Genomic DNA, 14,610 nt, shown 5'->3' with positions numbered 1-14,610 from the left:
TACATACTGTTTTTTTTTCTTTTTTAAATTTTAATGTAGTAAGGAACACTTAACACTTACCACATCTACCCTCCCACCAGATTCTTAAGTGTTCAATATAGTAATTGCTGTGCACATACAGAATGTTGCATAGCAGATCTCTGGGGCTTATGCATCCTGCATAACTGATTTTTTGCCCTTTGATTAGCAACTCCCCATTTTCCCCTCCCCTCAGCCCCTGGCAACCACGATTCTCTTCTTTGCTTTCTTGACTTTGGCTGGCAGAGACAAATTCTTAGTAATCACCTATAAAACTGCTAAATTTAGATTTCTGAAGGTTTTAAACTACTGAGAGGGCAGTTGGCAAGGCTTTATTCCTGATTCTCGACTGCACTTATATATATCTAACTACTAGCACCTGCCTTGGCCTTCCTCCTTTCAATCTTGTATTAGTCTGTTCTCACGCTCCTATCAAGAAATACCTAGGCTGGGCATGGTGGCTCACACCTGTAATCCCAGCGGTTTGGGAGGCTGAAGCAGGTAGATCGCCTGAGCTCAGAAGTTTGAGACCAGGGTGAAACCCTGTCTCTACAAAAAATACAGAAATTAGTCACGCGTGGTGGTACACACCTGTGATTCCAGCTACTCTAGAGGCTGAGGTGGGAGGTTGGCTTGAGCCTGGGAGGTGAAGGTTGCAAAGAGCCAAGATCACACCACTGTACTCCAGCCTGGGTGACAGAGCCAGACTCTGTCTCAAAAACAAACAAAAAAAAAGAAATAAGAAAGAAAGAAAGGCCTGAGACTGAGTAATTTATAAAGAAAAGAGGTTTCATTGGCTCACAATTCTGCAGGCTGTACAGGAAGAATGACAGCATCTGCTTGGTTTCTAGGGAGGCCTCAGGAAACTTACAATCATGGTGGAAGGCAAAGGGGAAGCCAGCACTTCATATGTCCAGAGCAGGAGCAAGAGAGAGAGGGACGGGGGAGGTGCCACATACTTTTAAACAACCAGATCTTGTGAGAACTTACGACACAGTACCAAGAGGGGATGATACTAAAGCATTCATGAGAATTCCACCTCCATGATCCAGTCACCTCCCACCAGGCCCCACTTCCAATATTGGGGATTACAATTTAACAGGAGATTTGGGCAGGGACACAAATCCAAACCATATCAAATCTGTGATGTTGCTTTCTTACCACCTATATCACTACCTACTCACAGCTATAAATAATAGAGAAAATAATGCATTTACAATAGCATATCTCATAGTTTCTATCTGCCTGCCAATGTAATGACAAGCAACCTCAGCAGAAACTCAAAGATAGCAGAATGCAATTCTAATCAGAAAAATGCCCCTAACAGTTCAGTGGCTCACTCCAATCTGTAGCAAGCTCACTCACATAACACTCCACCCAGAGATCTCTGCAGCTGATATGGTTTGGCTCTGTGTCCCCGCCCAAATCTCACTTTGAATTGTAATAATCCTCATGTGTCAAGGGTGGGACCAGGTGGAGGGAATCGGATCATGGTGGCAGTTTCTCCCATGCTGTTCTCGTGATAATGAGTGAGTCTCAAGAGATCCGATGGTTTTATAAGCATCTGGCATTTCCCCTGCTTGCATTCATTCTCTCTGCTGCCACCCTGTGAAGAGATGCCTTCCACCATGATTGTAAGATTCCTGAGGCCTCCGCAGCCATGCAGAACTGAGTCAATTAAACCTCTTTTCTTTATAAATTACCCAGTCTTGGGTATTTCTTCATAGCAGTGTGAGAACAGACTAATACAGCAGCTGTTATCCATCAGCAACATCAGCCTTACTTAGATGGTTAAAAATAAAATGTTGTATTTGGGGTGGGGGTCAGGGTGAATGGGGAAGGCAGTGGCTAGCCCAAGGCATTTTCTTGCTCAAGGAATGATTTTTGAAGATTTACAATTGTTTCTGTTCCTCTTCACTGGTATTTTCACCAGATGGATTTTTTGCTAAATGCCGCAGAGAAAATCATTAGCCAGCTTATATCCCTTGAGTAATGGTATTTAATGGTTTTATGCAGAAAAGTTACATTAATATAAATCAGTGGTCCTCGACAGGTGGCAATCCTTCCCTATCCCAACATTTAGCAAATTCTGGAGACATTTTAGGGGCAGGAAATTCTAGCGGCATCTAGTGGCAAGGGCCAGGGATGCTACTAAATACCCTACAATGCACAAGACAGTCCCCCACAACAAGGAATAATCTGACCAGAGGTAAATCATGCCAAGGGAAGGAAACCCCAGTCACTCCATAATTTAGCTATGAATGCATGTATGCCAAAAGGGGAAGGAGCTATAATGCAATATCAAAAAAAATCACAATGTAGCAAAAAAATTAAGCTAACACGATCTTTGTCATAGAAGAAAACTTGTGACATTGGAATAGGGAGCAAAAAGCCTTTGAAACACAGTAAGGGAACTTGCATTTATAACAGGTCACAAAATTAATTCAAAAGATAACAGTGCCCTGAGCTTGCCAAGTATGCCATCGTGACTGTAGCCTCATGGATTCATAGGCACGCCTGTAAGAATACAGAAATAGGTTTATTTAATCCTGACTTTCTTTTGAGCACTGGCAACAGATGAGTTCTCTGCGCCAAATCCTGCCCATAGAAAGCTAATGGGTGTTGCACGCAGTTATCCAAGAACACAAATTGGCTTTGTGGTTTCTTGTGGCATTTGGCTAGCTGAATCAGAGGAAACAACTAGAAGCTGAGGCAGATGGTTCACAGGCAATATGCTATAATGTCTTCTTACAAATATGTAGTTATGTATTAATAGGTAACCTCTTGGGAAACATGGACAAATATATCATTTTTTGCAATTCTCAGTTTCTAATACAGCTCTGTATGTTGTTGGTGCTCAATACCACTGGTTTCATATTTGTTAACTATCTCATACTCTATTCAAACTCATATCCTCATATCTTTGGAATGTGGAAGCAGACACAAACAAGCAGCTTAGCAAGGAGCACTGACTAAATACCAAGTACTGCATCAAGGGCCAGAAACCCAGTGATAAATAAGATGAGTATGTTGTCCACCATTTCTGAGCCTATTACTCCTCTGAGTTTATTGTGGCCCTTTCTATCTAAGTGAGGCTGAAGGCCACTCCTGTAACAGAAGTAAAAGTTGAAATTCTCAACTCCATGCTTCTTCCGTGAAGCCCTCCATCAGTAACATGCTAACAGGTTGGAAAAAGAGTTGACAAATATGTACACTGGTCAGGTAGAAGAGGAGACATGGTAAAAGAGGAGTAAAGGAGAATGGTATTCTTTCTCAGGTAAAGAAACTATCTTCAACAAACTCCTTTGACAGTAGGCAAGAGGGTGTATAACATGGTATTGAGTGGAGGCAGAAATATTAACCTAAACCAGAGCTACTGGTGCTGAAACAAAGATTCTAGCAATTCTGAGACCAATGGAAAAAAAAAAATTTTATAACCCGTCTGCCAGCCTGTAAGCCTGTTTCCACTTCAGAATTAATTAGTATCAACATTTTACCAGCCAATATGTCTCAAAAAAAAAAAAAATCAACAGTGTGCTCTGCTTTTTTTCTTGTGCAATAAACCCCTAGGGATTACAGATATATTTATACCACATCTTTCAGGACAGTTGGAAATATTAACCAAAAGTACGTACCTAATGATTGTTTTCATTGTAATGCATTTGTATTATTTTCAATGAATGAAATTTATTAAATGACTATATAAATGTGATATGTCTATATATAAAACAAGTTCCATAAGCATACATAAAGCAGAAAATTTTGTCAGACTATTATATTCTGACTTAGGCATGGTCATCTTCCACTTGTAAGATTCGTATCTCCCATACATAAGCTAAATGACTCTGTAGAAGATTATCTGGTCAGAAGATGTGACTAGAAATTCATAAATGTTCTATTTCTATTAAACCTGCCTCACTGACACAGCCCACTTTTGTTCTCTCCTATTCTGCAAGACTTCGAAGGCTGGTTTAACATTCCTGTGTTCTCAGCTATATAATTCTGGTCTTTCCACCAAAGCAGTTTTATTTCCTGACAGTCACTACAGCTTATGAAAGCCAGTGCTATTGGGAAAATATTCCAAATGCACAGGTTATGTGGTTGTGGAAAATAGGCATTAATGGAAAAGGGACTGAAACCAAGTTCTCTTCCGATTGCTATTTTGGAACTTCTGGTTTTTCTGTGGAGCTCCAAGTCAGTGGTGATTGCAAAACCAAAGAGACCAAACAGAATATTCAAAAAGCAAATGACCAGGAGGAGTTTATTTAGAAAATAGATAAATACAAATTGTGCTTTATGGGTTTTCATGTTTATGTCAGAAGGAATGGGTAATGTTGGACAGTCTGAAAGTGATGCTGTGGAATTTCTGTATTTCTCTTTTGTTTCAAATCATTCTCCCTGTATCTGATACTAAACTCTTCAGAAAGGTTTCACAGCTGTGTCCTTTGGGCACAGGGCATGTTCTGACATGCAGAGGATTATCTTGTGCAGCCTGTGGCCGCCAGCGCCACCTAGCTTCTGTATACATTTCCTCAACTCAACAGTTTTCCAAATTGTTCAATTAAATGAGCCAGTCTTCCATGAGAGCTCAGTATCGGTCTCACAGATTTTGAATGATGAAATTGAGGACGCGAGTTGGAACAGCCAAACTGCTCTGAATGGTTGTCAGGTAGAAAGACATGTTCTCTAAGTCTGTGGAACTTTAGGTAGGATTGACAACAATTCTCAATGCATTCATCACCTGCCTGTCTTTTATTTGACAAACCTTTGTGTGCCAAGCAGTTAGATAACGTGCACAGAGACCCAGCTTCTGAATTTTAACCACTATGTTTCAAATTAGGGAGGATTTCTAAGAAGAGAGTCTTTGCTAGGCTCACACTCAGGGACTGCTTCCCAATGAAGGAGATCAGAATATGTCACCCCAAAATATGCCGGCATAAGAATTATTTTGAGCTGGGGGCAATTGAGAAAAAGCAGACACAGAAGAGCTCTGCCGTCCCCCTCTGCTTAAAGCAGGGCATAAACTTCCCCTCGTGAAGGTGTTAAAAGAAAAACTTTAGACAAATTAGATTTAACAATTTAATTAAGCTCATGAATCAAGCAGCTCCCAGAAGCAAAATAGGTTCCCAGCGACTCTTGGGCTGCCACATGGTCAGATAACATTAATCGACAGGAAATGGAAAGTGAGGTTCAAAAAATAGAAGTGAGGTACAGAAACAGCTGGATTGGTTACAGCTCAGCATCTGCCTTATTTAAACGCAGTTTAGACAGTTGGCTGCCTGTGATTGGCTGAAACTCAGCTGCTGTGATTGGCTAAAACTTGGCTACTTGTTTCAAGAATAGGTTACAGTCTATATTTCCACAGCCCCTTGAGTTACAGTTCACTGTATATGGCGAAACCTTAGCTTTAGGCTAAACAAAGGTGTCCCCCACCCTCCCCTATTAGAAAGAGGAGAACAACCCTTATCAGGAGATGGAGATAGCACCAAGATGTGCTGTGTAAGCAAACTTTAGTAAATAACTCTTGTTTATTATTGCTTTTCCTCATAAATTTACCTTCCCACCATTCACCACCCCTGGAAGCCCAAACCCTCTTTCCTCTGTCATAGTCGCTTCTCCCCAGGTTATCATCCTTTGCTAAAATGTTATAGATGCCCTCCAGTTTACCTGCTTTTTGGGGGGTTTTCACCTCTTTTCTATGAAAACCCTGCCCACATAAGAATATTAACATCACATACAATGTGTACAATTTTCTTCCATTCATCTATCTTTGTCAGTTTAACTTGCAGGCCCACCCTCAGAATATAAGAAAGTAAAGAAAAACTTTTACCTCCCATACATTTAGAGTCAGTGAATGATTGATTACTAAACAGAAGAAAAGTTAGAAAATCTAGGGAAAATGTCATGAGGTCATTCGCTCTGTCTCAGAATGTCCTTCATTGTTCTGATGTCACCTTTGAATGGAGTTTATGATTCTTATCTCCTTAAAAGATAACAGAGATCTCATCCAAAGAATCATATGCTTCTCTCTTTGGGCTAACTTATGACTATAATGTGAGAAACAGAGGAGCACAGAATCATGGGTCAGGCTCATTCTTTGTAGATGAGACCAATTGCTTGAGGGCATGATTCGGTATACTTTAGAGGCAGTGGGTGTTTGAAATATATAAATGAAATCGACACAGATAAATAGAGCAGTTCGACAAATAGCCTGCTTGGATTGTCTAGAAGCCCTTATCGTTTTGTTTTATTTTGAAAGCCAGGACAATATGATTACCAACTATTAGTTTAATGACGAAATCTTCCAGATGGTTATGATGATTAGAATGATCAAGAAATTAGAAGCTGTTCAATCCTCATAGGAAGGCTTCAGTGGAATAGACTCCCTGCTGCCTCCTGTAGACTTGGACTTATTTAAGGAAAACCCTACAATGACTAGTTTCCAGTTGTAGAAATTGGAAGAAGAAAGAAATAGCACCTGCAAGCCTAAAAGTTCTCTTCCTTCCAATGAAAAAGGAGCTTAAACCTGTCCAAAGTCATGTATGTTACCTCGGCAAGTAAAATTTTATCATTCTGTGTACTGAGTGAGTCTTCTTCCCCTCCCAAGAGGCTTTAACTATAGAACCTTTAGGTTTTTTTTGTTTGTTTTTTAAGAAGGGGGTCTAGCAACAACCTCAAGTTCCAGGACAGTCATTCTTTACTGACAAAGGAAGCAAAGATGAAAGTCCAATTAAAAGCCCATGAAATTTCCATCATGTTTCTTTGAATTGAGTTTGGAGTCTTTGGAATTCTCAAAATAATTCACATGAAGATCTCAGATGCCAATGTATTTTCTGACTCCCTTCAAGGTAGCCATATGAGGAAAGGCAATGAGTTTTATACCAGCATTTGCTGACAGTAAAATATAATGAAAAACATTTATTTGTAATAATGTAGACCACATTCTAACTGCCATTTAATGTAACCACACTATATTTCATAAGGTTTCAATTTAGCATAGCTAATCACAGGGCCAGTTCTACTCTGATGTAGACCTTTTGCATTCTGCCTGAGAAAAATCTACTAAAGTGCTGCTTAGGAGAGAGACCCAGCCAAAGTCACATTTGGAATTAAACACGTTAGAGTTTTAAACTTTTTGAAATTTATAAATGATAAAACAGAGAATTTTTTTAAAAAAATTATTGTTAAATATAAACCATTAGCAAAGGTAAATGTTTGTTACTATATGTACTGGGTTAATTGGTGGCCCACAACAAAATATATGTCTACCCAGAACCTATAGAGGGGACCCTATTTGGGGAAAGGGTCTTTGCAGATGTAATTAAGAATCTCAAGATGAGATCATCGTAGATTAGAGTGGTCCTAAGTGCAAAGACAATGTCCTTATAAGAAGAGGAGAAAACACAGACACAGAGAACGAGGCCATTGAAGACCAAGAGAAAGACAGAAATGGTACTGCCACAAGCCAAAAATCACCTGGAGCCACCAGAAGCTGGAAGATGCAGGGAAGGACCTTCCTCCAGCACCTTTAGAGGAAGCGTGGCCCTGCCAACACCTTGATTTCAGACTTCTGGCCTCCAGAACTGTGAGAGAATAGATTTCTTTCTTTTTTTTTTTTTTTTCATTATACTTTAAGTCCTAGGGTACATGTGCAAAACGTGCAGGTTTGTTACATATGTATACATGTGTCATCTTGGTGTGCTGCACCCATTAACTCGTCATTTACATTAGGTATATCTCCTAATGCTATCCCTCCCCCCTCCCCCCACCCCATGACAGGCCCCAGTGTGTGATGTTCCCCACCTTGTGTCCTTTTAAGCCACCACATTTGTGGTCATTTGTTACAGTTGCCCTGGGAAACTAACACAGTACATTCAAATATCACAACAAAAAAATCAATTAAGAGGAATGAATGTTTAAAAACAAATCCTGGCCAGGTGCGGTGGCTCACGCCTGTAATCCCAGCATTTTGGGAGGCCGAGGCAGGTGGATCACGAGGTCAGGAGTTCAGGAGCAGCCTGGCCAACATGGTGAAACCCTGTCTCTATTAAAAATACAAAAATTAGCCGGGTGTGGTAGTGTGCACCTATAGTCTCAGCTACTTGGGAGGCTGAGGCAGGAGAATTGCTTGAACCTGGGAGGCAGAGGTTGCAGTGAGCCGAGATCGCATCACTGCACTCCAGCCTGGGAGACAGAGCAAGACTCTGTCTCAAAAAAAAAAAAAAAATCTTCTCCACCAATCAGTGGAGGAAGCCTTTCCTCACATCCATCCTCCACATCTACCAGCATGGGAAGCTGCAATGAGAAAGTTTACATCTTTTAAAGCAGTTAAAATTTAGAAGTATAAGAATCAACGAAACTATAGAAAGTACTATTGACTCACCATTTCCTAAACATGTCTTGTTCTGTTACATTTCCATAACTTTGCAAATACTGTTCTCTTAGCCCGGGATGCCTTTTTCTACCTAGGAAATCTCTGCATACCCTTCGAGATGGGGGACAAGTGCTGTCACCACTTCCACAAAGCTACGTTCTACACACACACACACACACACACACACACACTCACACACGAGGCTACCACTTTATTCTGGCTTCTACAACATTTTTTACTCACCTCTAGTACAACACACATTACAATGCTTTGTGGTTTTTGGTTTATGGAACTGTCTCCCCCACTAGACTGTGAGGTTTACACGTGCAACACTATGACCTACTTATTCTCAACCCCTCTATATATGGTCTCCAATCATTCAGTAGTCTAGCCTGAATTTCCTTACCGCATAGTGGCTAGGTTTCAAGGCCTAAGAAGCAGAAGCTGCCAGTTATCCTAAGGCCTAAATGCCAAAGTCCTAGAAAGTCATTTCTATTTTATTCTATTATGCAAAGCAAGTTATGAAGGTATTCTATATGAAGGGGTGGGGACATAATTTCCTCTTCTTAATCTGAGACACTGCAGGCATGTACAGAGATGGGAGGAATTGTTGGTGGCCATATTTAGAGACTGACCTACCTCACCTGAATTCTAATCCCAGCTCTGTCTCTTACTATGACCTTAGCCACAGATACATAATCTCTATGCCTTTACATGCTCTCCTATAAAACTAGGATAATACTATCTAGTTGAAAAGACTGTTAAAAAGACTAAAGGAGATATTATAATTTACTTAGTGTGGTTCTTTACACACAGTAACCTTCTAACAAATGATAACTATTTTTTCTCTTATAAAAAGGGGTGTGTTAGAAAACAGGAAGTTAGTAGACTGCTAAAAGGAAATGCTGAGAGAGACCTTCATGGGGAGAAAAAATGAAAGGCAGAAGGACAATAAAGACAGCCTTTATCTACTTCAATCAATTTTGACCAATTTTGTTGCTACTAGGCAACTGTAGAAGAAATACCCAAATCTGGCCGGGCGCGGTGGCTTGCGCCTGTAATCCTAGCACTTTGGGAGGCTGAGGCGGGTGAATCACGAGGTCAGGAGTTAGAGACCAGCCTAGCCAACATGGTGAAACCTGGTCTCTACTAAAACACAAAAACTTAGCCGGGTACAGCAGTGTGCGCCTGTAATCCCAGCTACTCAGGAGGCTGAGACAGGAGAATCACTTGAATCCAGGAGGCGGAGTTTGCACTGAGCTGAGATCGTGCCATTGCACTCTAGCCTGGGCAACAGTGCGAGACTCCGTCTCAAAAAAAAAAAAGAAAAAGAAAAAGAAAAGAAATACCCAAATCTGCAAAATGAAGTATTTTGAGTATTCACCAGCAAAGTATATGCATGTCTAGGAAACCTCACAGTTGAATTTCAGGGAATATATCATAGCTTTGCACGATTTTTTAAAAATCGTACTTTCCTTTAGAAATAATTTTGTTTCTGTCTTTTTGTTTGTTTGTTTGTGTGAAATAGTCTTACTTTGGAGTGCAGTGACATGATCTTGGCTCACTGCAGCCTTGACCTCCTAGGCTCAAGCGATCCTCCTGCCTCAGCCTCATGAGTAGCCAGGACTACAGGCCCATGCCACCACACCCAGCTAATGTTTTGTATTTTTAATACAGACAGGTTTTTGCTATGTTGACCAGGCTGGTCTTGAACTCCTAACTTCAAGTGATCTGCCTGCCTCGACCTCCCAAAGTGCTGTGATTACAGGAGTGAGCCACCATGCCCAGACTTGTTTCTGACTATTAAAGCAACCCATGGCCATTGAGAAAATTGTAGGTAGTATCAAAAAGTAGTAGGAAAAAAATAATAAACATCCATAATGCTATCAAAAAGGGTAGCTACAAGAAATATCTGAACGTATCTTTTTGTAGTAATTTTGTCATCAACATATTCATCCATAGCTGATTTTATGAGCATACACTGTGTAGTCAGATAGGGCCACACACTCAGAAGAATCCCATTCTTGGTTTAATCCTCTCCTATCACCGTCTTGAAATTCTTAATAATTTTTGAAAAAGAGATTTCAAATTTTTATTTTGCAAAGAGCCCTACAACTATGTAGCCAGAGTCCTGAATGCAGGTATGTCTGTTTCTTGGTACGTATCTGTGTATAAAAACATGGAAGCCAGGCACGGTGGCTCACACCTGTAATCCCAGCACTTTGGGAGGCTGAGGCGGGCGGATCACAAGGTCAGGAGATCGAGACCATCCTGGCTAACACGGTGAAACCCCGTCTCTACTAAAAATAGAAAAAAAAAATTGGCCTGGCGTGGTGGCGGGCGCCTGTAATCCCAGCTACTCCAGAGGCAGAGGCAGGAGAATGGCGTGAACCCGGGAGGCAGAGCTTGCAGTGAGCCGAGATCGTGCCACTGCACTCCAGCCTGAGCGACAGTGCAAGACTCCGTCTCAAAAAAAATATATATATATATGGAAGTAGCTATATATGTATGCATGCATTAGTATCCCAAGCATATTTAGAATTATATACTTTATTTACATATCTTTATGGTTACCTATATTTTATCTATGAGCATGTCATGTTTTAATTAACTATTCCATTCCTCTTACATTTTCAGGCTATTTACATGGAGAGATGCTTGTCCTCAAAAGTTATCATAAGATGTGCTACAATTTTAAATACAGTGTTCAGAGAAGCTTTGCTAATGAGATGACACTTAACTAAAGGAGAAAACTCTCTAGGAATCTGAAGGCAGAATGTTCTAGGTAGAGAAAACAGCAAAAGGAATGGCCCTAATCTAATAGGTGGTTAGATATATTCAAGTCAAAATACAACTGTGGAAATTGGATTGAGGCAATATCCCCTAATGTAATCCACAGATGCCATATGTCAAGAAGAGTTAATGGATCAGGGATGGAGGAGGATGGGGAAAATAATTGAATAATAAAAATGTGATTAAAGGAAGAAGGAAGCTTGCTTGGATTAACCATACGTATACTAACAACTCAGTCTTGTGGACATGAGGTCAAACAACAAAACAATGACAACCAGAGCAAAGGTATCTAGGATACTGGCAAAAAAAGTGAGTCAAGAAATGAAATGTGTGAAGCTAAGCTAAGCAAGAAGAGAAGTAAAGACCAGAGGGAACTGATAGAAATGTTCAAAGGACCAGAGGTCATGAGAGGACCAAAGAACAGGTATAATAGGAGCTCCTGTTAGGAGTTAACCAGAAGCTAAGTGATCAGAGTTAGAGAGAGGGAACTCTGGGTTTCTGAAGTGGAACAACTCGAATTGTCAACATGGCCCAAGGTACAGTCATTGAAAGTGGTATAGAGGAGGTCATTGCGTTAAAGAGGTTATCAAAATTAACAACCAGGGAAAGGAACTCAACAATTGGCAGATTTATTTTTATTGCTATTATTATAACTCATCACAGCATTCTTAAGGACTGCAAGGAAAATATAAAACTATATGTAGAACAGAATCAGAGTCTTAGCAAACAAATGTTATCTTACAAAAGTAGTAGCAACAGGTTCTGTCTCCAAAGCGAGCTTGTATTCAAATCTATGGTGTCCGAAAGAACAGAAGAGAAAACAGGATTTCAGACAGATCATGTATTAGACCATTCTCACACTGCTATAAAGAAATACCTGAGAATGGGCAATTTATAAAGGAAAGAGATTGACTCACAGATTCACACATCTGGGGAGGCCTCAGGAAACTTATGGTGGAAGGGGAAGCAGGGACATCTTACATGGCGGCAGGTAAGAGAGAGGAGTGTGTGTGAAGAAGGAACTGTCAGACACTTATAAAACCATCAGGTCTCGTGAGAACTCACTCGCTATCCCAAGAACAGCATGGGGGAACCGCCCCCATGATCCAATCATCTCCCACCAGGTCCCTCCCTTGACATGCGGGGATTCTGGGGATTACAATTTGAGATGAGATTTTGGTGAGGACACAGAGCCAAACCACATCATGCCACTAATTATGCTTTTTCATCTTTACTGATTTATATGGAAGGTGCTTCTCTGTCTTTATCTATTTGTTGCTAGTGTTTTTAATGAGGAAATTTCACAACTGATGGTGCAAGAAAAAAGAATAATTATGAGGTCATCCTGATTTGGAGGGTGGAGAGGAAGGAGAAAAGGAAGATTAAGAAGATCTTGGAAGGAAGATGGCTAAACAGCCCTCACACAACTATGAGATAGATGCACTAGTGAATCTCAATAGCTAACATAAAGAAAAAGGGACTAGCTTTCCATTCTTTCCCATTTAAAACATTTCTACTTTGTTCCATACAGAATAATCCAGTGAGATAAGTTTAAAACAACTGAGAATGTCTCTTTTCAGAATCACTCCCTGTACAACATTGCACATAACACATACTCTAACATCTAACACAATATAACATCATTTGGGATGTGCTTGACCAAGTGTCTAAAATTGTCATAATAAAGGAATTCAAAACTCCAATTTTTCTTTTTTTCTAATCATTTACATTTTCCATCACTCCCTACAAACTCCAATTTTCCTTCTTGAATTTCATCTTATTCTACCACTGAAAGTGTTTCAGAATAGAAAGCATAATTAGCAGCTTCGTTTTATTTATCCAACAGTGTTTCTTGCTCTTTACTGAGCCACTGGTTCCCATAGCCTGATTTTGGAGGAGGCAGGATAGCTGAAGGCAGGTTATTTCCCATGCATTCTCTGAATCTGTCCTACAGGCTGTTTAATACCAGTTGAAGGAAGCACATTCCGGGAAGAAAGTTCAGCATAGGATGTGGTACAGGCCTAGGGATAGCCTATACAAATGACACAAGGTCTTAGTGTGGCCGTCAAAACAAGGAAGATGGGAGGCTGGGTGTGACTCAGTGACTAACTCTCCACCTTGGGAAACCATGAGTTCTTGTGAGTAAGCCCTGCCCAAGATAATGAAAGTATAAAAATATATTTACACAATAGTCATTGAAGTTAAGTGTTTTTCATCTTGTTTTCTAGTCTCCTGGCTAAACAGGAAGTTTTTTGCAGGATGCTCCGATATCCTCTGTTCAGAGTAACAACTTTAGCACTTTGCTTTCCTTTTCTCCCACGATACACTTAATGTTTCCGCTCTAGGTCCTGGATTTAGTTACAGATTTCCTGCAGGAAACTAAGGCCCTTTAGCTTTTTTGCAAGAATCAGGCATACTCCACATAAAAGAGTCACAAGGAACCTTTTGTAGATAGATTCGTCTTATTGATGTGCCTTGGGGAAAGTCAGAGTGGGTGAGTTAAAACTGTGCAAAATACAACCAGCACCCCTGTCAATCTCCACAACACTCACTGGAAGTCAGGTACTTAAAATAGTTCCTGATCTTAGGGGAAGGATAAATGATTCACTGGGTTCACTGCAAAAGGAAGCTCTTTCTCCAGAGCTTATCTTGGCACCTGAAAATCATTACAAGGGCTAAATGCTATTGGCATATAAAGATGATGATGAAAATAAACTTAAGCCAGTGTGTGCTGGCTATATTGTATTAACATCTACAGTGATTATATTAACGGTTGCCAATTTTCCTTTAAACTAATATTCTATTCATCTGGACATATTTAATTGTAAGTTCTACCCTTCTGATTCAGTAGAGCATGGTGACAGATCATGTGGACTTGGAGTCAGGGGCCCCTTCGTTTCAATCCCAGTTCCAACACATTTATCTACATGATATTTAGGAAATCTGTTCATTGGTTGCGGAGTGGATTTCTCTTTTTCTTCATCTTTAAAATGGGAATAATAATTGTATTTGGTTGAATCAAAAACTTAGTCATTTTTGTAAATTAAAATCTACATAAATTTCTTGTAAAGATTAAGGAGCTAATACATGTAAAGTGCCTGGCACACTGCTAATACCTGTGAAAATTTAACAAAGCAATTATATTTTTATTATTATCATGTTCCACCATTTGTTCTTTTGATCTACAGTTATTGAGTAGAAATAAAATGTAGACCACTTAATAACACTCTGGAATATAAGATACTGGAGGACAGCAGTTTTTATATTGGTTCACTGCTGCATTCAACCCTGGAAAAATGCCTGGTACACAGCACATATTCAGTAAACATTTGCTACATGAATGGATGAATTAATAACATGAAGATGACTACAACAAGATAGAATTTAGCACCTGTCTTAAAATCTTGAGCTACTTTATCCCATTT

At 40.0% G+C, this 14,610-nt stretch overlaps 1 long non-coding RNA gene across 2 annotated transcripts in view, besides 2 other annotated features; it reads right to left on the bottom strand.

Annotated features, from left to right (window-relative positions):
- Positions 1-14,610, bottom strand: part of LINC01483 (long intergenic non-protein coding RNA 1483) — a 309,014-nt gene that overhangs the window by 291,140 nt on the left and 3,264 nt on the right. The gene's annotated exons all lie outside the window — the stretch shown is intronic.
- Positions 3,724-4,923: an enhancer, noted in NCBI's record as "MED14-independent group 3 enhancer chr17:67603079-67604278 (GRCh37/hg19 assembly coordinates)". NCBI's record gives its function as "activates an origin of replication core promoter dependent on BRD2, BRD4, P300/CBP and CDK7 cofactors, and independent of MED14, by STARR-seq in HCT116 cells {active_cell/tissue: HCT116}" and the evidence as "EXISTENCE:reporter gene assay evidence [ECO:0000049][PMID:35650434]".
- Positions 4,379-4,648: an enhancer, noted in NCBI's record as "active region_12659". NCBI's record gives its function as "activates an Ori minimal core promoter by ATAC-STARR-seq in GM12878 lymphoblastoid cells {active_cell/tissue: GM12878}" and the evidence as "EXISTENCE:reporter gene assay evidence [ECO:0000049][PMID:35858748]".

Source organism: Homo sapiens, chromosome 17, assembly GCF_000001405.40.
Source record: "Homo sapiens chromosome 17, GRCh38.p14 Primary Assembly".
NCBI lineage: Eukaryota > Metazoa > Chordata > Mammalia > Primates > Hominidae > Homo > Homo sapiens.
This window is presented reverse-complemented; position numbering and strand designations above follow the sequence as displayed.